The sequence below is a fragment of the Homo sapiens genome, chromosome 17 (genome assembly GCF_000001405.40).
Source record: "Homo sapiens chromosome 17, GRCh38.p14 Primary Assembly".
Lineage (NCBI taxonomy): Eukaryota > Metazoa > Chordata > Mammalia > Primates > Hominidae > Homo > Homo sapiens.
The window spans coordinates 55,573,102-55,595,841 of NC_000017.11; the positions used below are offsets into that span (position 1 = coordinate 55,573,102).

At 38.1% G+C, this 22,740-nt stretch overlaps 1 long non-coding RNA gene across 1 annotated transcript, besides 2 other annotated features; it reads right to left on the reverse strand.

Annotated features, from left to right (window-relative positions):
* Positions 2,913 to 4,112: an enhancer, noted in NCBI's record as "MED14-independent group 3 enhancer chr17:53653375-53654574 (GRCh37/hg19 assembly coordinates)". NCBI's record gives its function as "activates an origin of replication core promoter dependent on BRD2, BRD4, P300/CBP and CDK7 cofactors, and independent of MED14, by STARR-seq in HCT116 cells {active_cell/tissue: HCT116}" and the evidence as "EXISTENCE:reporter gene assay evidence [ECO:0000049][PMID:35650434]".
* Positions 3,792 to 3,861: an enhancer, noted in NCBI's record as "active region_12416". NCBI's record gives its function as "activates an Ori minimal core promoter by ATAC-STARR-seq in GM12878 lymphoblastoid cells {active_cell/tissue: GM12878}" and the evidence as "EXISTENCE:reporter gene assay evidence [ECO:0000049][PMID:35858748]".
* On the reverse strand, positions 7,469 to 16,702 carry LOC102724732 (uncharacterized). Its single transcript, XR_429997.4, has 3 exons — positions 16,506 to 16,702; positions 11,319 to 11,422; positions 7,469 to 7,701 (listed from the first exon to the last, which is right to left on the reverse strand). It is a non-coding gene; the product is annotated as an uncharacterized LOC102724732 (long non-coding RNA).
* Between the last annotated feature and the right edge of the window lie 6,038 nt (positions 16,703 to 22,740).

Genomic DNA, 22,740 nt, shown 5'->3' on the forward strand with positions numbered 1-22,740 from the left:
AGGCAACTTTCCTCTTGTCCATGCCCTTATGCCGTATCATCCAGAAATATATAACATACTGCTTCAGCTGCACAGAGGTAAATGAGCTGATAAAACAGCCAAAGATTCTGAGATAAATGAAAAAGGCTCCCACACAATCAAATGAATGACCATGACTAAGGGCATCTCACATGAGCATAGATGATTAAATACCAAGTCCCTGAACCGCTATCACTAGAAGGTATAGAAAATGAATTTTCTGTAAGAGTTCACATCTTTAAGCAATGAGAGATGCATTTTCAAGCTGAACTCACCTGAATGTCACTCTCTGTCAACAAAAGCCATGGAGGTAACCAACAACCTCTTCTTTCTACAGTACAGAACAGAGAAGGGCAAGAGGAGGAGCAGGTGTAGCAGAGAGGCAACACTAGGACACGTTGTTTCTGAAGTGATTTACGAATGACAAGTAGAAGTAGTGAATACAAAATGAAAATTAGAGGAGGTAGTTCTTCCAGTTGTTTAAAAAGAGAGAGAAATAAGCAACAGCTGCAGCTTGTGTTCTGCTATTTGAAGGTGAACTCTTCCTTTAGAATTTCAGACTTTTAGCAACAGCTTAGCGGTTGAAACTACAGAAATGATGTTGATACACTTAAATTCAGTACTTTCAGCAGTTGCAAATAGATAAAGAATTTTCTGCATTTTATATAAAGCCACTGATAGAATAAAGTAATAGTGGCCAGGCACAGTGGCTCACGCCTTTAATCCCAGCACTTTAGGAAGCTGAGGTGGGTGGATCACGAGGTCAGGAGTTCAAGACCAGCTTGACCAGGATGGTGTAACCCCATCTCTACTCAAAATACAAAAATTAGCCAGGTGTGGTGGTGGGTGCTTGTAATCCCAGCTACTCAGGAGGCTGAGGCAGAGAATTGCTTGAACCCGGGAGGCGGAGGTTGCAGTGAGCCGAGATCGTGCTCCGGCCTGGGCGACAGAGCGAGACTCACTCTCAAAAAAAGAAAAAAAAGCAATAGTAATATATGGATCCATATATTAAAACAATAAGTAATATATGGATCCGTATATATTAAGACAACAAGTAATATATGGATCAATAATTAAAACAAAGAATGGGATCAATGGACTATTAAAAACATGAACAAGGTGAGAGAGATGAGAGGGGAAAGGAAAGAGGGGAGAATATTCAAAACATGAACAAGGTGAGAGAGATGAGAGGGAAAAGGAAAGAGGAGAGAAAAAAGAGACTCTAGGACATACCAAGACAGACGTTTTGCCCTGAGCTACACCTGAATAAGAATTCACTAATTTCTTAAAAACGAGGAAATGAAATTTAATACTGGAACACTATATATTTCTTTTATATCATATGTATAGATTTATGCTTAGGTTAACAACTTAGTAAAGTGAATGTTGTTTCTCCCATATTGTGGATTAAGTCATTCTTAACTAATAATTTTGTGGTCTTTAAGGAGTCCCAGATCAAATCCATACCTGGGTCACTTGTTTGCAATAGGCATTATAAAAAATTATATTGAAGATTCTGTTGCTAAGCTAAGCAGTGCCCTCTGAAGATTGTTGCCTTGACAAGGATAATCACTCTTGGAGGAGTTAGACATTGCAGAGGTACTTGATGGGTGACCTGCATGGGCCCTTTCTCAGAGCCTTATTACCATGTATTTTTCCAAACACTTAGTAGAGATAAGAGTTGGCCTCATAAACCTTAGTTATATTCATTAGGTCCTAGGCCAGTTTATTCTTTCATTTAGGAAATAGGTATTGAGTATAGACTCTGCATCAGGGGCTTTACTGTGTAAAATGCTGGGAGACCATGAGAATACCTGTCAGTGTACAATTTTCAAAATGTTAAAAACATAATTCTCATGAAAAACACAGAGAGCAAATGTCAAAGTTGTATTTGAGTCATTCATGAGGGATTCATCAAGATAATCAAGCCGATTCAAAGAAAGATATGGGGTAAAAAAAATATATGCTATATATACATATATGAATACATATGTACATGTAGAAAAGGAGAGAGAGATAGAAGAAGAGAGTCAGTTTAACCAAAAAAGTGCTGGAATAAGATTTCTAAATTGGATTAAAAAACAGTCAATTTCTACAGTATAGTAAAATCATAACTTTGGGGGTAATAATTCTGTCTACTAGACAAAAATCATTTACATATTATCAGTTTCCTACAAGTTCAACCTTAACTTTACAGAGTCTGGCCCTTTATTAAGGTAAAAAGTACATCAAATGAAAACCAGTTGACCCATGGACAGGCTTATTACCCAATGCTCTATGACATGGACAGAACACGCAGTCATCCTTCTTTCCTTATTTCTAAGTTTTGGGTGATCTTTCTTCACATGATGAACAAAAGCAGAGTCTCTACGCTCACGGATCTATCACCTAGTCACATTATCATTGCATTACTGATTACGCAAATACATGGAGATTTCAACTGTGTTGAGAGTTGTGAAGGAGGGTACACAATGGTTATAAGTGTTTACAACAGGGATTTTTCTAAGCAGGGGATCAGGAAGGCACCAGTGAGGAAGGAGACACCAGAGGGGGAAACACTGGGGAACACTGGGCAGCAGTGAACCAGATGGGCCCTCATTTCTTCCCTACCCACACATCTCTCCATGGCTTTGAGCACCATGTATGTGACGATTTCTCTCACACGTACACATTTAGTCCTTTCTCTCCTCAAAACTTCAGACCTGAGAGTTCACTTGGATGGCACACAGGCATCTCACCTTGGCATGTTCAAAGCAGAATTCTCAGTCCTGCTCACACCAAACATCAACCCTTCTCATAGCCTTTCTGTTTTAGTAAGTGGCACCACCGTCCCTCCAATTGATCAAAACAAAGGTTTAGGAATTCTTTCCGATTTTCCTCTTTCCCTCACTCCCCCTACCCCAAAGCAGTTTGTCAGTTAACACTGCCTGCTCCTCCCTTATAGTATGCAAAATCCACCACTTTCACACCACTACCCAGGGCCAAGACATCAACATCCCCTCTCTCGTGAACTATTTCAGTGTTTCCACCAAGACTTCATTCTCCACTTAGCAGCCAAAAGGTAAATCTCAGCTAAAAGGTAAATCCTATCCTGTCGCTCTTCTAAAATCCCTCCAGTGGTAACTGGAATAAAATCTAAACTCCTCCCACTGACTCACACAGCCCTACGACACCCGACATTCATAACTTTTGACTCAACTGTTACTATTTCCACTCCCACCCCGAGCCCCACCCCTAACTCCACTCTGGTCACACAATCCTTCTTTCAGTTCTTCAAACATTCCATGCTTATTCCCAGCTAATGGCCTTTGAGCTTGTAGTTCTCTCTTTCTGACATATTTTTCCTTGTTACTTTTGTCTGTCTGTCTCCTTTCGTTATCCAGATCTCAAGCTTAAATATTACATCTTTAGAAAGGTCTTCCCTAACCACCCAATCCAACCTACACCTAGTTTCTCTCCATCAGATCTTTTGACTTTAATTCTCTGCATGATGTCATCATGAGCTGCTATTTCTTCTTGTTTACTTCCTCTTTTTTCTCTGTCTGCCCTTCCCAACCCAACCCCTCCATACATGTCTTGAATTTTAGTTGTAACTCCAGTGCCTACAACAGTGCCTAACACATAGCAGGTGCTAGAAAATAATTTTTGAATACATGAACAAGCAAAGAGGGAAAGGACAATCACTCAGACAAAAGGAGACAAAAGGAGCATAAAGGACTGAAAAAAAATATTCAGCGTAGTGAGAAGCTGGGAGCACAGAGAGTAGGAGGGAGCAGGGTGAAAAGGACAGCGGAGAGCAGAAGCCTCCAGCCCACGCAGCACTCGGAGGGATTTTAAGGAGTTTCATCTTCATCCAAATACTAATGAGAAGGCAGACACAGGGCTGAGAAAAGGATAATATGCTAGTGATCTTGAACTCAAACTGAAAGAGACTTAATAGGAAAAATAAGGCCACTGCTGTAGTGATGGGCCCCCGGGTAGTCAGAGCAGAAATGCACTGACCCACATCAGTTCATTTCTCTCCCCATGGCACACACAGTCATCATCACTTCCAGCCTCGCCACCATGAAGTGAACAACAGCCCGTGGAATGAACTTTCACTTCTTCAAGAGCATAATGCTGCTTTCCAACCCAGGCCCGCCCTGCATGCGGTTTCCTCTACATACAAAGCTCCTCCAACTTCCACATGCCTAGTTAACTCCTTTTTTCCCCTTCATTTCTCTGCTGAAACCTCATTTCCTCAGGAAAAGCCTTCTTGGACCCTCTCCCCGCACCATACTGTGTCAGGGCCCACTGTTATAGTTCCCTGAACTGTAACTCCAAGAAATTACCATTCTTTCTTTCACAGCAGGAATCAGTATCACATGCGGTTGAAAATGAAAGCTGTTAGACTGCGTAGCATCCCACATTTTCTACGTGGTAGCTGTGTAAACATAGGCAAATTATATAATCTCCTTGAAGACTTCAGTTTCATTATCTGTAAAATAGGAATAATAATAGTCCCTACTTCAAAAATTTTTTTTTTTTTTTTGAGACGGAGTTTCGCCTTTGTTGCCCAGGCAGGAGCGCAGTGGCGCGATCTTGACCCACAGCAACCTCCGCCTCCGGGTTCAAGAGATTCTCCTCCTCTCAGGGGAGGCCTTCCCATGCCCCGACAGTGCAGAGATGCCCGACTGTGCAGTCTGGGTTTGGTGGCTGCAGCTGTGCCCGAGGGGGTGGGGCTCCTTCCTGCTCTGTGGAGTGGGAGGCCCGAGTCTGCAGCCATGACTTGGGCTGTTGTGGCTGCACCTGGGGAATTCCCTCCCCATCAGCTCGGAAGTGTTGTGATTCCCACTTGTTGCCAGCTCCACGGAGTGTGCAGCCCTGGCTGAGCTTCGCTGTTGCAGCCAGCGTAATGGCAGCGGCTGCCCCAGATGGGCTGCAGGCGCCATCATTAGCACAGCCCTCTATGAAAAGCATTATGGCTATTTCTCAAAGAACTAAAAGTAAATCTACCATTCAATCCAGCAGTCCTACTACTGGGTATCTACCCAAAGGAAAAGAAGTAGTGATATTGAAAAGACACCTGCATGTATATGTTTATGGCAGCACAATTCACAATTGCAAAGATAATGGACCATCAATTGATAAGTGGATAATGAAAATGTGTTATATATACACCATGGAATACTACTCAGCCATAAAAAATAAACAAAATGATGTCTTTTGCAGCAACTTGGATGGAGTTAGAGGCTATCATTCTAAGTGAAGTAACTCAGAAATGGAAAACCAAATATATATTCTGACTTCTAAGTGGGAGCTAAGCTATGGGTACACAAAAGCATACAGAGAGGTATAATGGACACTGGATACTCAGAAGTGGGGCGAGTGAGCAGGGGTGAGGGATGAAAAATCACATATTGGGTACAATGTACACTCCTTGGTGACCAGTGCACTAAAATCTGACTTCACCACTATACAATTCATCCATATGACCAAAAACCACTTGTACCCCAAAAGCTGTTGAAATAACAAGATTATATGTATATGCGATTATATATATATAATTATATATATGTGTGTGTGTTCCTGGTTTATTTTATATATATAATTTATATATATACATATATATGTGTGTGTGTGTATATATGTGTATATATATAAAACCAGGAGAAATTCTAACTGGGCTAAATATATAAATATATATTTATAATTTCTTGTTTGTTTGTTTGAGACAGAGTCTCACTCTATCACCCAGGCTGGAGCGCAGTGGCGCCATCTTGGCTCACCGTAACCTCTGCCTCCTGGGTTCAAGCGATTCTCATGCCTCAGCCTCTTAACGTAGCTGGGTTTACAGGCATGTGCCATCCTACCCTGCTAATTTTTGTAATTTTAGTAGAGATGGGGCTTTGCCATGTTGACCAGGCTGGTATCAAACTCCTGACCTCAAGCAATTGGTCTGCCTTGACCTCCCAAAGTGTTGGGATTATAGGCGTAAGCCACTGCACCCAACCTATAATTGTTTTTAATAATTATTATAGGCATTACAGCCCAAAAAACTGAATGACATTTCTTCACATGAATCTATTACTCTTACTTATACTGAGAAGTGGATATCATAGCATCCACTCACAACTTAACAGACTACTGACAGACACAGCACAAGGAGTTTTGCATTTAAGGTATCTATGTGATGTTCTTCTACGTGATGTTTCAGTTTTCAATTCCTTTCTCTGTACAACTGTAAACCTTCAATTAAAAAGTGCTCTGTGGGGTCATTTGGCCTTCACTTAGTGCTAATGCAATTAGCGTCACAAAAGCAAGGGCCCTGAAATTGTATGGAAAAACTCTGTTATCCAGTGGTCATCTAGAACAGGCAGAATGTTTTTAGATTAAGTTCAGTGATGTATTATCATTGAAGTGAAAACAGAATTTAAAATTCACATGGAACTTTCAGACCTCAGGGTGTGCTTTTGCTGATACTCATGTGTGTGCAGTTGACGGTTTGTTACAGTGCTACATATTATTGATGTTCCAGTGCTCTTTTTGTATTTCCTCTCTTCCTAAGCTTCCTGGCTGACATAGCCTCTCTGTGCATAGCCTTCTACAATCATCATGTTACCATGCAAATGAAAAGTCTAGTTATATCTATATCTACATTTATCTGTCCTTTTTTTTTTGAGACAGGGTCTTGCTCTGTTGCCCAGGCTGGAGTGCAGTGGTGCGATCTCAGCTCACTGCAACCTCTGCCTCCAGGTTCAAGTGATTCTCCTGCCTCAGCCTCCCAAATAGCTGGGATTACAGGTGCACACCACCACCCCTGGCTAATTTTTATATTTTTAGTAGATATAGGATTTCACCATGTTGGCCAGGCTGTTCTTGAACTCCTGACCTCAAGTGATCCACTTGCCTCGGCCTCCCAAAGCGCTGGGATTACAGGTGTGAGCCACTGTGCCCAGCCTGTGTATTTTTATGTAAATTTAAGGTAAAAAGTAGCACCATTGCGTGCCTTTTCAAAATTGCTCTTTGTTGTATCTTGCATATTATTCCTCACTGATGAGAAATTCTGATAAGATAAATACCACTGAGCAACTATAATTCATGGGAATACTTTGTTTAAGGTTCATGCCTAAATTTCTGTATCACAGATTCCCAAGTCTGAAATTATCTGAAATTATAGCCCATATCCAAATATGCAGCCGCTAAACTCAAGTTAGAACTGTGATTCTTTCTTAGCTGCGTCTTTATTTTCTGTAAATGTGAGAGGATTGCATAAAATAATCACTGGCACTATGGTTAGGCCAAGTATTCTTTGATTCTCAGGTTTCTCATCTGATTTAATTAATCTTTTTTATGGACTACAGTAATGACCCCACTGGACAAGACGATTCATGAGGATTGGAACTTCATCTATTTTCTTTATGCTTTATTCCTCAGCATGAAGTTTTGCACATATTAGGCACTCAATAAGTAAGTATAGAATTAGCATTTATTGAATCTCAATAATATAACCCCAGACATCAGATTTGTCTCTATTCATCAGCCACACAGATCTGATCATGATATTCTTCCACTTCACAATCTCTGAATGGACTCGCATTGCCTACTTAGAAAGTGAAATCTAAATCCCTTCCAATGGCATCTAAGGGCATTCACAATCCAGTTCGCCGTACGTGATGATGTAGTAAAATGTCAGCCAGGAAACTTAGGAAGAGAGGAAAAACAGAAAGTATTAGTACCATTTCCGCCACTCTGCCCTCTGTACAACAGCCACATTAAACTATTTATTGTGACTTATTATTATGACTATGAAACTGTCATTTCATTGCTCCATCCACCAATTTTGAAAGTGATACCTTTTTACAAGTTTGATTTGCATCTCCAGTAAATGTAGAGAGCTGAGATTTCCCCACATATTTTAAGTAAATGACTTTGTTTTTGTCATTTTTGCTATGGGTATATGGGTATTTCATTTTTTCTGTTATTAATATGGGCATTTTGCTGATTTGGAGCTTGTGTTTAATTCTTAATATATGACTACTACTAATTTTTATGATAAATCCTTTACATAATCTTAACACTCCATTCATTTGTTCTTTTAACTATTGTTTCATAATTTTTTCTTTATTTTAAAATATTTTAGTTTGTGTAATCCAAACTTTTTCTGGAAGTCTGAAAATAATTTATCTTCTCTAAACAATGAAAAAATATATGCTATTGGTTATATGTGTTTTACATTAATTATTAATATTCCGCTATTCAAAATGTCTGTTCAATTTCTCCTATTAGTTTACTAAATTTATACCTATGATATCTGTATGCATTTAGCAAAATTAAACTTTGAAATAATTAAAAATGGTATAATTTAGCATTTCCAACTTCTTCCTCTTGCTCTTATTTTTATTTGATCTGTTGCTAACTATATTTCCTTTGGCTTATAGTTGAATGTTTGAAAGTTCAAGTTTTTCTTTTTTATTTCCACTTGGACTTTATCTTGTCATTTTTAAGCTAAAGAAGTTAATTGCTGAATTTTTTGAGTCCTCAAAAAAGCTTACTGAAAGTTTATGGGAAACTGAAAAGATGTGGAGATTTCTAGGCAGCTGAAAGTTTTAAACATTTTTTTACTTATTGTAAAATTTCCTTCCTTCCTTCCTTCTTTCCTTCCTTCCTTCCTTCCTTCCTTCCTTCCTCCCTTTCTCACTTTCTCTCTTTCTTTCTTTCTCATAATCTTGCTCGGTCACCCAGGCTGGAGTGCGGTGGCATGATCTTGGCTCACTGCAATCTCTGCTTCCTGGGTTCAAGAGATTCTGCTGCCTCAGACTCATGAGTAGATGGGACTACAGGCATGTGCCACCATGCCCAGCTAATTTATTTTATTTTTTGTATTTTTAGTAGAGATGGGGTTTCACTATTTTGGTCAGGGTGGTCTTGAACTCCTAACCTCAGGTGATCCACCTGCCTCAGCCTCCCAAAGACTGGGATTACAGGTGTGAACCACCGCGCCCGGCCTGTAAAAGTAGTTTCTATACTTTCATTTAACTGGACAATCCAAATAATAATTTCATTTTCATTCATGTCAATTGAGAAGTGCAGTACCACATTCCCTGACATCAGGGAACTCTCCATCTAGTTAGGAGCGCAGAAGAGGAACAGATAATGAACAATACTGCAATTCATTAAGGGCCCTGCTAGCTGTATGAGTAATGCACTACAGGAGTGTAGAGGTAAGAAATTATAGCACTTAACCTTTCTGAAGTAGAGAATTCTATGATGACTTCATTAAGAAAATCACCTTCCCAGAATTTTAAGACTGAGTAGATCACAGCCAGTAGGAAAAGGATATTTTACCTAGGTCATACTCATTGTATTATGGCTTGGAAGAATGTTTCCTTTCTAAGTATTTTACTTTTAGAGAGGTGATAGTGCCTTTGATTTTTCTCAATGCTTTTGTCCCTTGGCTATGCTACTGAGTGTGAACAAATTTCCTATTGTCTAAGGGACTGGTCATGAGATATAGGATACCACTGTTATAAAACTGTTTCTTTCTAGGGTTTTTGTTTTATTTACTAATGGGATTCATCCAGCATTTTCCAGTGTTTTCCATGGTAATTAGGGCTGAAGGATGCGCTAAGGAAACAAAAGTTCAAATATTTGCAAATAGCCACATGTGATTCCTTTCTTGGAGATTAACAATGCATAGCTCTAACAGTGAGGTTAAAAAATCATACTGGCAGGCACTAGATTTCATCTTTAAAAAAGTGTTGTATTTCTTTCATAAAATACCTTTATAAGCTGCTAGGAGAAGAAAGTGTGGCACCGAGGACTTGGGTTAGCAAGATACAAAATCGCGCAAGAGACAACTAACTCACTGTGCATTGGAAATGCAAAGGAATTTGAGGGTGGAAGAAGAGTAGAGAAAATTTGAGGGTGGGAGCAAGAGAAAGGAGAAATGAGTATGACTCAGTGATGTGGTGGATTTTAGTTATTTGCATTGCTGCCATGTCTGTTTATTATAGTCTGTTGCACACACCAAGAACTTGTACAAGAAGAATGTAACTGATTTTTGCATGTAGATCAACACCAGACTGGAATTAGAGTAAGGCACAGTAAAGAACAAAGATTCAGAGAAAGCCAGAAGACAGATCCATTGGTGATTACAGGCATGTAAACCTTGTAGTATTTCATTGAAATCACGGGGAAGATAATGGATTTTACCTCAAGGCAAAAAGAAGGGGTTCATACAATCTTTTTTTAATCTTAAAATACAGGAGACCACAGCTGGCACGGGGATTGTATGCATGCAGTAAATGTGTTATTTTTATAATCAGATTAATTAAAGATTCTGTTTTTATTTCTAAAAATAATTCTCAAATTTTGTTTTGCTCTGATAGGCTTTTGGTAGGTATTTGGCAGCAGAGTACTCCACAAGACTATCTTCTCCAAGATTATAAACCCCACGAAGTGTCTGGAATGTAGCTATTTAAGGTTGCCTATTACAAATACACATGTCTTAGTAGATAGTCGAGCTGAGGTAAGGCTGACATTTTTAAGTGCAAATTGTTAAGTCTGAGAAGCACAGGTGATGAACACAAGGATATCTCACCACTTCTATTAGGTGGCCTAAAGGAGTGTCCTCAGTTCAGCATCTCACAACAATCAATATATTGGTTTAGGCTTAAAACATTCTTTAACTTATTCCTGATTTTCTTTTGTTTGGGAGAACCAGGGAGCTGGAACCTCACCTAATTGCAACTTTTAAGGTCATTATCTATTCTTGAAAACGTATTCATACTGTTTATATTTCATTTTCAACCATCTTGATCCCTGGAAATACACTGTTTGGTCCCTAGGTTCACCTATCACCTTTAGGTCATGACCACAGGTCTACAGATTTAACCTCCATGCCATGGATTGGCCTTGGACCTAGAGTTCTCTTAGATCTGGTATACCACAGCTTCCTGGAACTTCTCCTGGTGCTTTGCTTCTACCCACATGGGTAGGTGCTTTGCTTCTACCCAATCTCTGCCTCAAGAGTCCAGGTAGCATAGGGGTTAAGAGTGTGCAATTGGGTGCCAAATGGTTGACTTCTAATCTTGGCTTGGCTGTTTAGTAACAGTGATTGTGTAAGTGATTTGACCTCTCTAACTCTCAGTGACTCATCTATAATGCGGGAATAAAAATACTTCCTTCCTCAGAGATTGTTGTGAAGATTAATTAGATAACGCATGAAAAATCCTAGTACATTCTCTAGCATATCATAAGTGTTCAGTAAACAAAAGCTGTAACTTTATGTATTATTTCAATTTCTATTTTCCTCCTACCTTCTTTGGTGCTTTTGTTGGGCTGACAACAGAGCCTGCTGAACCTCCATCAGTTCCCACACTTTCCCTTCTTGTCAGCAGGATGCAGTAGAAAGAGCATGGACCTGGAAATGTGATAGACCTAGTTCAGAACTGTGCTTACACAACTTTTGTGAACTCATGGCCTTGTATTGTATAATATTTAATGTCCTGAAGCCTTAGTTTCCTCACCTATAAAGTGGAGATAATAAAACAAACTTATAGAGGTTGTTGAAAATTAATAGATATCCTCACCCTTCCCACTCCAGTGAGCAAGGTGCCTTGCCCATAGTCAATTGTTATTGAAAACAAGCACCCCACTTTTTCCTCGTATCTAAATTTCTTTCAGATTCCACCCAGGTCATCCAAATTCTGATCTGGGATCAACACTGCTCTCCTCCTATTCCTACCTTACCAGAAAGGCCATATCTTTAGGCCTTATGCAAGGATACACTAGTAGAATGGTGAAAACCTGGATTTGATTCCTACTTTTCCCCATGTTTGTGCTCAGTAACTTCAGGTAAGTTTTTAAATTTCTGACATTTAATTTTCTTCTTCTTAAAATAGAGAGAATGAAACTCATTTCAAAAGGTTGTTGTGGAGATCAACTTAAATTTGCTTACGTAGTAAATTTTGAACACCTGCTATGTGCCAGCCATAGTGCAAGGTACTGGGATTTCAATAGTGAGCCACCTAGAGAGTGCAAGTGTATGGTGCTTAGCACAGTGCCTGGTGTACAGGAAGCATGAACATGTAATGTATGTCATCATCATCATCATCATCTCCACATCATGCTACATAAGCACAGAATAATTCAATAAATTAATTACAAATAAAATAAATACATTTTCTATAAAATATATTTATATAAAATGTAAATAAAATAATTACATTTTAAATTCTCTAATCCAAATCAAAATAAATAAATCTTTGAATTATTATAGGAATTCTTGGGAGATATGTCTTCTCACAGAGGTTTCCGTGATCCCCATGAGCATCTAGCTACAGTTAAAAGCCACAGTAATGTAAAAATGTATTCAAATGATGCCAACATACAACTGAGGTTGTAAACCACTGGTGTAGAGTCTACTGTAGTGTAGTTAGTACCTGACTGAAGGAGATGAGTAGGCCAGGTTGTCCTAAAGAACTAATAATATTTTCAAAATTAAGTGATTGAACAGTGGAATGGATAAATTGTGGTATATTCATATAATGGAATACTACACAGCAATGAAAGAGATCTTGTTAAATGTAACAAAGAGGAAATCTCACAAATATTATATTGGCCAAAAGATGCCAGATGGCAAAAAGAGTACATACTGTATGATTCAATGTATATGATGACAAAGACAGACAAAACTAATCCATGATGACAGAAGTCAGCATAGTGGTTCCCTCCAGTGGTGGGTATTGATTGAGCAGGTTATGAAGGAAGCTTTATAGTTAGATAGACAGATAGATAAACAGCTTTGTTTAATTCATACACACATACACATGTGTGTGCACATGCACGGAAATTTACCAAGGTGTTTATTGAAGATACGTGTACATTATCAAATGTAACATTTACATCAATAAAATATAAATTAAAAATTAGGTAATAAATATCTGCATTAGTCTGTTTTCATACTTCTGTAAAGATACTACCTGAAACTGGGTAGTTTATAAAGGAAATAGGTTTAATTGACTCAGTTCCACATGGCTGGGAAGGCCTCAGGAAACTTACAATCATGGTGGAAGGTGAAGGGGAAGTAAGGACCTTTTTCACATGGCAGCAGGAGAGAAGAGCCAGCCAGAGCAGGGAAAACTGCCTTATAAAACCATCAGATCTCATGAGAACTCACTCACTATCATGCGAACAGCATGGGGGAAACTGCTCCCATTATCCAATCACCTCCCACCAGGCCCCTCCTTTGACATGTGGGGATTACGGGGATTATAATTCAGTATGAGATTTGGGTGGGATACAGCCAAACCATATTGGTATCTGTATAGACCTCTCACTCTCTCTGATATATAGTGTGTGTGCATATATATAAATATACATATATATTGTGTGTATATATACATATATAGTGTGTGTATATGTATGTGTATATATACATGTGTGTATATGTATGTGTATATATACATACTATATATGTATATTGTATATATGAATGTATATTGTATATATATAGAAATATGAATAATAATATATACATATTTCTCTCTCTCTCTCTTTCTTATTTGCCTTTCAGTTCTTGCTTGGTTGATGCTGGCATCATTAAATTTTTATCATTAAATTTTGTTTGTGTTTTCCAAGTGTTTTTACTCTTCTCTGCCTTTCTCAGGCTTCCCAGCAGCACTTAGTGAGGAGGAGGCTGATCAATGGGTGGTGGGGAAAGTAGCTGAGCAAACATAAAGGTAGACTTGAACTTAAACTGCACTGTCAATCGTCAGTCATTCTTAAAGTGGGTCATCTGTATATAGATGATCACTTGTTATAAGGGGATGTTAACAATTTTTTCCCTTGGAGTTGGCAGTGGAGCACTGGGGTGTCTCACACTGGCCCAGAAGAACATAGAATAATGGTAGTGACAAGATGCAGGTTTTTAGTTCTCCAAGTTATTATCTGAGTATGTGATAATGGCCTTGGGTGTGTTGGGATAGGATAGAGGTAAGAATAGGGAGGAAAAATACGGGCTGAGAACACTTTCCTACATACAGATTTTGGCATCTGCCATCCTTTTCTTTAGATTTGGTTGATACCAGAGAGGGTAAGAGATGGTGCTGGCCCAATTTCCTGTCTCTTTATGACTTGGCAGTGGAGAGTGGCCATGCTGGTGCCTGTGTAGAGTATGGCTTGCTCCCAGAAGTTTGAAAAAGAAAGTAATCGATAATCAGACACTCACTATGTTATATGTGACTATGTGCTCTGAAAATTCACTTCCCAGCTGGGCCTGCAGCCATGGAGAGGAGAAGAGTGGAGGCAATCACCAAGGTCTATAATGGATTTTTTTTTTTTTTAAGAGCAGATGAGAAGGAGAAAGAGAGAAATAGGGCTAGAACAAAAGAGAAAATAGAAACTGAGTGGTGCTGGGAAGGTAGAAAAGACAGAAACCAATTACTAAAGAATAGCTGCTTGACAACCTCCAAATCATAATTAGGAGAGACTTCCTGGCCTCACATTTTCCACATAAACACTCAGGCACTGGGCAAAGTTAATGGGTCCCTGACTGCTGCACAAGAGAGAGCCTCTGTCCAAACCCAGCAGTGATTGACGTCACAGACGGAGTGTCTCAGAGTAATGTGCTCCGCTCCCCTCATTTATATGTTTGACCCTAACCTTTCCCAGATGTGCAACTGTTCTTCCTTCCAAAAAGGGGCTTTCAACACTGGGCATTGTGTGCTCTCTGAATCCAGCCCTGCAGCAAAAACAAAAGTCCAAGTTCCTGAGTTTTGGAACTGGACTTGTGAGTTGGAGTATCTCTGGACTGTTTGGTGTCCCCTCTGGAAGCTCGTATAATGGGGTTTCTGTGCTTATGTGCTTGTGATCTCATGCCTCGAGCTGCTCCTTAGTATCTGGCTGGCCGCCTCTCTTTGGCCACGAAGAGGTGGGAGTACGACAAGGCACAAACAAGGTCTTTTATGATCTGGTTCCAGCCTACTCCTCCACTCCTGCCTGAACTCCTCCCATTCCCTGGTTCGAGGCACAGATATGATTTGCCATTGTACTAAGACGTCTTGGTGACCCATGGTCCTGTGGCTTTCCCTACCTTGTTTAGGCTACTCTCTTACCCAATTCTCTCTCTTTGATTTGGTGGACACCAAGTCCTCATTCAGTTAGGAAGGTAGTGCAAACTTCCTCTATTCCTGGAAGTTTTTTCTAACTCCCTTCCCTGTCCCCTCCTAGTTTGAATTGGCTGCTTGCTTTGTAACTCTCCAGCGCTGCTTTGCAAGAATCTTCACCTTAACCTCTTCACTATTGGTGTGTTTACCTCTCTCTGCTTTATGTTTGAGTTAGTTGTTCATGTGTCTGTTTCTCTAACTCAGTTGTAAGCCTTTTAAGAGCAAGGACCAGATCTTGCCCATCTTTGAACCTCCAGCATTTAGTACTTAGCCTGGTATGTAACAGGTATTCAGTAAATATTTGTTGAATGAATTCATGAATATTGCCAAGGAAATGAGGATGATGATGTAACATAAGTTATGTACAGTGTCTTGATGGCCTTGGAAGGGTTAGTATTAACAAAACATCAAGACTTGTTACCTCTAATGAAGAACAGCATAGGAAAATAAACATTAAATTTATACAATAGGGACAATTACTGCTGCTATTACAGGTCCCTGTTACTTCCTAAGTACTTAACTGATATTATCTCATTTTCTTCTTACCACATCCCTTTTCCAAGTGGCATGTGGATTTTATAATTATTGTTTATATTATTTCAAGTTTCTTGACAACATGATTTTGTAGCCTGCAGTGGAGACGTGTTCCAAGACCTCTCAACCCTTTGGAAAGCCCTAAATCCTTTTGCTGCAAAGCAAGTATACTATCTATTACAACGCAGCTAAACAAAGGATTATGGCTTCAAAAATCCCTCTGTGCTTTTTACATGAAAATCAAACTTCCCTTCCCCTGTGCACTTGGAGTTACCAGCCCTCCTTTCCCCAAATGTAAGACTTCTGATGTAAGGCCAGATTCATGGAGGGAGAGCAGAGGCCAACAGCTGGGTTTAATTAGTATGCTTTTGCCCTCGTATCTTGAAAAACCTATGCTCCACACTAGGCTTTCATTTGAGAGAAAGGGAACTCGAGTTGTAACAAAATCTCCAAATGCAGAAGAAATGAAGAGAGGGCTGAGGAAGCATTTGCACCAACTTGCCTTCCTATGATCTGACTTTGGTCTATCTACTCATTATATGGTCCTCTCTCCCCTCCTCCTCAAGGAATCTGACTCCAGTTGTACAGAACTCAAAGAAAGCAGAGGAAGTCTTGATGCTGTTGCTTTAAACCACCAGGAGGCAAATATCTCTTTTCTAGTGATGTAAAGATGATTTCAGGACTTATTGTAGTCAGAGGGCTAGAGGCTCCAAGGTATCTACTTACTACCATTTTCAATTAGTGGAGTTGGGATAGAGAAAAAAGGAGTGGATAAGAGGGAGAGAAAAAGAAAAGTCCACTTACCTGACCTCCCCCTGGAATCTGGTGATCTGACCATTGCCAGAAATGGTAATGTCTTCCTATAGTGAAAATTTTTCAGCTTCCCACTGAAAGATGTCTACAGATGTCCATAGCAATGTTCAAATTGTTGCCTCTCTTTATAGATAAGTAGACCTGCATGTTAGCAGAGTTAAGGGCTAAGTGGATTAGGCCCTTCAGAATTGTTCAGAATTCATAACTATGTAAGATAATTTATAAATTATGTAATTAATGCTAAAACCAGTCCTTAAATATTTTGGTTTCCTTTTTTTCTATGCAAGCCTCCTTAACAACTATGTTCACTGAAACAGGATAAAGTGGCTTTCTAGTGTTATGGGGATTTTCCCAAGGAAGCTGTGAATTTATGAAGCTGGGAGCTCTGTAGGAAATTAATATTTTGAATCAGGAACAAAAGATGTGTGTTTTTCCAGAGTTATGGTGGCTAGGAATGTGAAGATTACACTCTCCCTTGTAATTTCAAACTCTTTGTTATTTTCTTTAAATGTAATAATGTTGGACATAGAACTTTAGCTTATGAAAGCTTTAAAATCATAGGATAAGACTTCCATCCACTTAAACTTTGGTTGACTGATATTTCCAAGTAGATAAAGCTGAAAGAATGATGGGAAAAAGTAAAAATAATCCTCAGCCAAATCAGATAGAGGGACAAGAGGAGAGAAGGGAAAAGAGCAAAACACAAACCTAACACACCAAAAAGGAGGGAGGAAACCTGGGAAAGTGAAGCTATCCCGATTACTTCCCCAGTCAGGAAATTATTGCTTAGTTAATTTAATGGGTACAGGGAAGAGCGAAGTCAACACACTATGGTCCAGATGAGAGATTTAACTCCCACTTGCAAAAAAAAAAAAAAAAAAAAAAAAAAAAAAGAAACATTCCACTCCAATGACAGTGGATAGGGAAGAATAATAAAACTTAGTAGTGATGTTTTAGGGATTATGATCTACTGAATTACTGTTTCTAACAGACATGATGTGACTATATGCGAAGCATGGGTCAGGTATGTATAAGAATAGAGAGAAATAGGTCACTTGATCTTCCATCAAAGTGGCCTTGAGTTTTCTGAAGGGATATGAATTAATGAGATGAAAAGGTAGTCCAGAAAAACTGAGTGTTGGCTGAGAATAAGTCCCACCCACCCTAAGGTTCCAAACTGCATAGCTGGCATTATGAACCATTTTTCTCTCCTGTCCCCGTGTGTGGTAGATGCTCACCCTCTCATTCTTTCTAGATAGCCTTTATCAGATTAAGGAAGTTCCCTTGTATTCCAGTTTGCTAAAGATTTAAAAATTATTCATATAATACTAAAAAGTTTTATGATATCTTTTTCATCTATTAAGGTGATTATATGAGTTTATTTTTCTTTATTCTCTTAATTTGCGGAATCGTATTGGTTAACTTTAGTATGAAACAACAGGGCACGCCCAGAATAAACGCAACTTGGTTATTCTTTTTGGGAGATTGCAGAATTGGATTTACTAATACTCTGTTGAGGATGTTTGGATCTGTGTACATGAGTAAGAGACTGGCCTATACATTTCCTTCTTCATAAATCCTTGGTGCATTTAGCTTAGTATTATATCAAGATTCTATTGGCTTAAAAATGGGTTTATAATTGTTTTCTCTTCTACTCTCTGGAAGAGTTTAGCTAAGACTAGTTTTGTTTCTTTCTTAAATGTTTGGAAAAATTCACTGGTGAAGATACCAGGGCCTAAGGTTTTTCTTCATTTATTAATTAGTATTCAACTTATTTAATGAGTACAGGACATTTGTACATATAAACATATATGTATATGTTTATTTCAATACCTTTTGGGGTACAAGTGGTTTTTTTGGTTACATGGATGAATTGTATAGTGGTGAAGTCTGAGATTTTAGTGCACCCGTCACTCGAGTAGTGTACACTGTACTCAATATGTAAGTTTATATCTCTCATCCCCCTCCTACTCTCCTTACTTCTGAGTATTTAATGTCCATTATACCACTCTGTATGCTTTTGCATACCCATAGATTAGCTCCCACTTAGAAGTCAGAACATACAGTCTTTGATTTTCCATTTCTGAGTTACTTCACTTAAAATAATGGCCTCTACCTCTAGCTCCATCCAAGTTGCTGCAAAAGACATTATTTCATTCTTTCTTATGGCTGTATGGTAGTCCATGGTGTATATATATACCGCATTTTCTTTATTCATTCATTGGTTGATGGGCACTTAGATTGCTTTCATATCTTTGCAATTGTGAATTGTGCTGCCATAAACATATACGTGTAGTTGTCTTTTGATACAATGACTTCTTTTCCTTTGGGTAGATACTCAGTAGTGGGGTTGCTGGATCAAATGGTAGACCTATTTTTAGTTCTTTGAGAAATCTCCATACTGTTTTTCGTAGTGGCTGTACTAACTTACATTCCCACCGGCAGTGTATAAGCATTTTCTTTTCACCACATACATACCAAGATCTCTTGTTTTTTGACTTTTTAATAATAGCTATTCTGGCTGGGGTAAGATGGTATCTCGTGGTTTTAATTTGCATTTTTCTGATGATTAGTGATGTTGAGCATTTTTTCATGTTTGTTGGTCATTTGCATATATCTTCTTTTGAGAAATGTCTGTTCATGTCATTTTCCCACTTTTTCATGGGATTATTTGTTTTTCTTCTTGCTGATTTGTTTGAGTTCCTTGTAGATTCTGGATATTAGACCTTTGTCAGATACACAGTTTGTAAATATTTTCTCCATCTCTGTGAGTTGTCTGTTTACTCTTTTGATTATTTCTTTTGCTGTGCAGACGCTTTTTAGTTTAATTAGGTCCCATTTATTTATTTTTTGTTTTTGTTGCATTTGCTTCTGGGGTCTTAGTCATTAATTCTTTGACTGGGCCAATGTCCAGAAGATGTATTTTCTATATCTTTCTTGCATTTATTTTGGAAACTATATCTTCTTATACTAGCTTGCACAATATAATTTTTTTAGGATTGTTCCTTTTATTTAAAATTTCAAATATATTGGTATAAAATTATTCATAATTGTTTTATATCTGTGTGATATGTAGCGATGTCCATTTTAACATTCCTGTTGCTTTTAATCTTTCAAAAAATTGATCTAGCTAGGCATTTATCAATCTTACTAAGAAGTATTTTCAGTGAATCAACCTGTGGCTTTGTTGAAACTCTTTAGTGTTTGTTTGTTTTCTAGTTCATTATTTCTATTCTTTTAAAAATTGTGTCTAAAAATTTTGGGAGGGTTTAATTTGCTAGTCTTAAAAACTAACTTAATACTTAGCTATTTGATTTTCAGCCTTTCTTCTTTTCTAATATGTGCATGTAATGTTGTACATTTCTATTCAATAGGGTCTTCATCTCACAAATTCTGATATGTCATATTTTCATTAGTATAATTTCAAAATATTTTCTAATTTCTATTGTGATTTCTACTGTGCTCCGTTAAGTTTTTAGAAATTAGTTGCTTAATTTCCAAACATATAGGGATTTTATTACATACTTCTAACTTAAGTCCACTATGGCCAGAGTACATACTCTAGATTACTACAATCCTTTGAAATTTTTGAAACTTGTTCTGTAAACTGGCATATGACAATATTTGTTAAATTCCCAAGAAAACTGGGAAGAATGAATGGGTCTTGGAAAATTTTGGAGTAATTGCTCAATGCATAAAAATTGGGACAAGTTTGATAATTACATTTTTCAAATCACTTATATTCTTACCCATTTATTTTTGCCTGTGATCTCATTTACTGCAAAATGTGTGTTAAAATTTCCTAGTATAATTTTAGATTTGTAGATATTGCATGCAAGTCTTGTCATTTTTTTTGCTTTATATCGAGGCTCAACTATTAGGTGTATACAGATTAAGAATTGGCATATCTTCCTGTTGAATTGAACCTTTTATCATTAATCGAAATGTTTTTATCTCTAATAGTTATTCTTACCTTAAAGTCTGATTAGAGTGACGAGAATATAGCCATGTCACCTTTTTCTTGGTTAGTGTTTGCATGGTATGTTCCCATTCTTGTACTTTTTTTTTTTTTTTTTGAGACGAAGTCTCGCTCTGTCACCCAGGCTGGAATGCAGTGGCGTGATCTCTGCTCACTGCAAACTCCGCCTCCTGGGTTCAGCCATTCTTCTGCCTCAGCCTCCCGAGTAGCTGGCACTACAGGCGCTCACTACTACCCCCAGCTAATTTTTTTTGTATTTTTTAGTAGAGACGGGGTTTCATCATGTTAGCCAGGATGGTCTCGATCTCCTGACCTCGTGATCTGCCTACCTCGGCCTCCCAAAGTGCTGGGATTACAGGCGTGAGCCACCGCGCCCGGCCCCATTTTTGTACTTTCAATATTAATTGCTTAATTTCTAAATGGTATTATCTGTGTTTCTTATAAGTAACACAGATTTGTATCTTTTGTTTATCCAGTCTGAAAGTCTTTGTCTTTTAATTGGAATAGTTAGTCCATTTGTTGCAATTATTAATATACTTGTATCTGTTTTGCCATCAAATTTTTAAATTTCTGTTTATCTAACTAAAGTTTCTTTTTAATCCTTTCTTATTTTATACCCCTTTATAACAGGATGTTAGCTTACTCTCATATACACTGTTTCCCATCTTCCATTATGTTGATAATACTTAGACCAATAGTTCAAAGTTTTAGTCTCAGAAGCTCTTTATCCCCTTAAAAAGTATTGGGAATTCCAAAAACGTTTTGTTTATGAGAGTTATATCTATGAAAACTTATATTAAAAAGTAAAACTAAGAAAATTTAAAATATTCATTAATTCATTGAAAAAACCACTACATGAGAGCATAAGTAATATATTTTTATTTAAAAATAACTATATTTTCCCAAACAAGAGGGGCATCATTTTGCATTGCAGCCAATTAAAAAAAATTCTGCTTTAGAGAAGACAGCTGGATTCTCATATTTGCTATTACATTCCTTTTTTTTTATAATTTCATAAATTAGTCTCTAGAAAACTCCACTACACGCTCATGAGGGAGAGCAAAAAGGCAAATAACATTTTGGCATTATGAAAATGGTTTTGCTCTCATGGATGACTTGAAAGGGTCTCACAAACCACACTTTAAAAATAGCTGACCAAGACTAGTGATTCTCAAGCTTTAATGGTATATTCAAATTATCTGGAAGACTTGTTAAATCACAGATTGCTGGGACCCCACCTGAGTTTCTGATTCAGTAGGTCTGGGGTGGAACCTGAGGATTTTCATTTCTAGTAAATTCCTAAGTGATGCCAATGCAGCTGGTTTAGGAACTATACTTTGAGAATCACTGATCTAGACTTTTAATTCTGGGTTATTACGGATGTAATTTCTCTTTGTCTTGGATTGTAGCTACTCCTTTTTTTTTTTTTTTTTTTTTTTTTCCGAAACAGAGTCTCACTCTGTCACCCAGGCTGGAGTGCAGTGGTGCGATCTTGGCTCACTGCAACCTCCGCCTCCTAGGTTCAAGCAATTCTTCTCCCTCAGCCTCTCGAGTAGCTGGGACTACAGGCATGCGGCACCATACCTGGCTAATTTTTGTATTTATTTAAGTAGAGACAGGGTTTCACCATGTCACCATGTCTGCCAGGCTGGTCCCGAACTCCTGATGTCAAGTGATCCTCCTGCCTCAGCCTCCCAAAGTACTGGGATTACAGGTGTGAGCCACCGCACCCAGTTAGTCAACTGTAGCTATTTTTAAAATTGTGATCAACAATACATAACATAACATTTAATATTGTAACCATTTTAAAGTGTACAGTATAGTGTGTTAACTTTATTCATCTTGGGCAGCAGCTCTCTAGAACTTTTTTTATCTTGTAAAACGGAAAATCTATATCTATGAAACAACAACTCTCCTTTTCTTCCTCCCCTCAGGCCCTGGGAACTACCATTCAACTTTCTGTTTCTAAGAGTTCGAATATTTTAGATACCTCATATAAGTGGAATTTTGGTGTATTTGTCTTTTTGTGACTGGCTTATTTCACTTAGCATAATGTCCTCAAGGTTCACTTTTGTTTTTGCATGTGACAGGATTTCATTCTACTTTAAGGCAAATAATATTTCATTGTTTGTATATACCACATTTTCTTCATCCATTTATCTGTTGATGTATATTGTAGGTGGCTTCCAACTCTTGGCTATTGTGATTATGCTATAATGAACATGGGTATGCAAAATATTCTCTCAA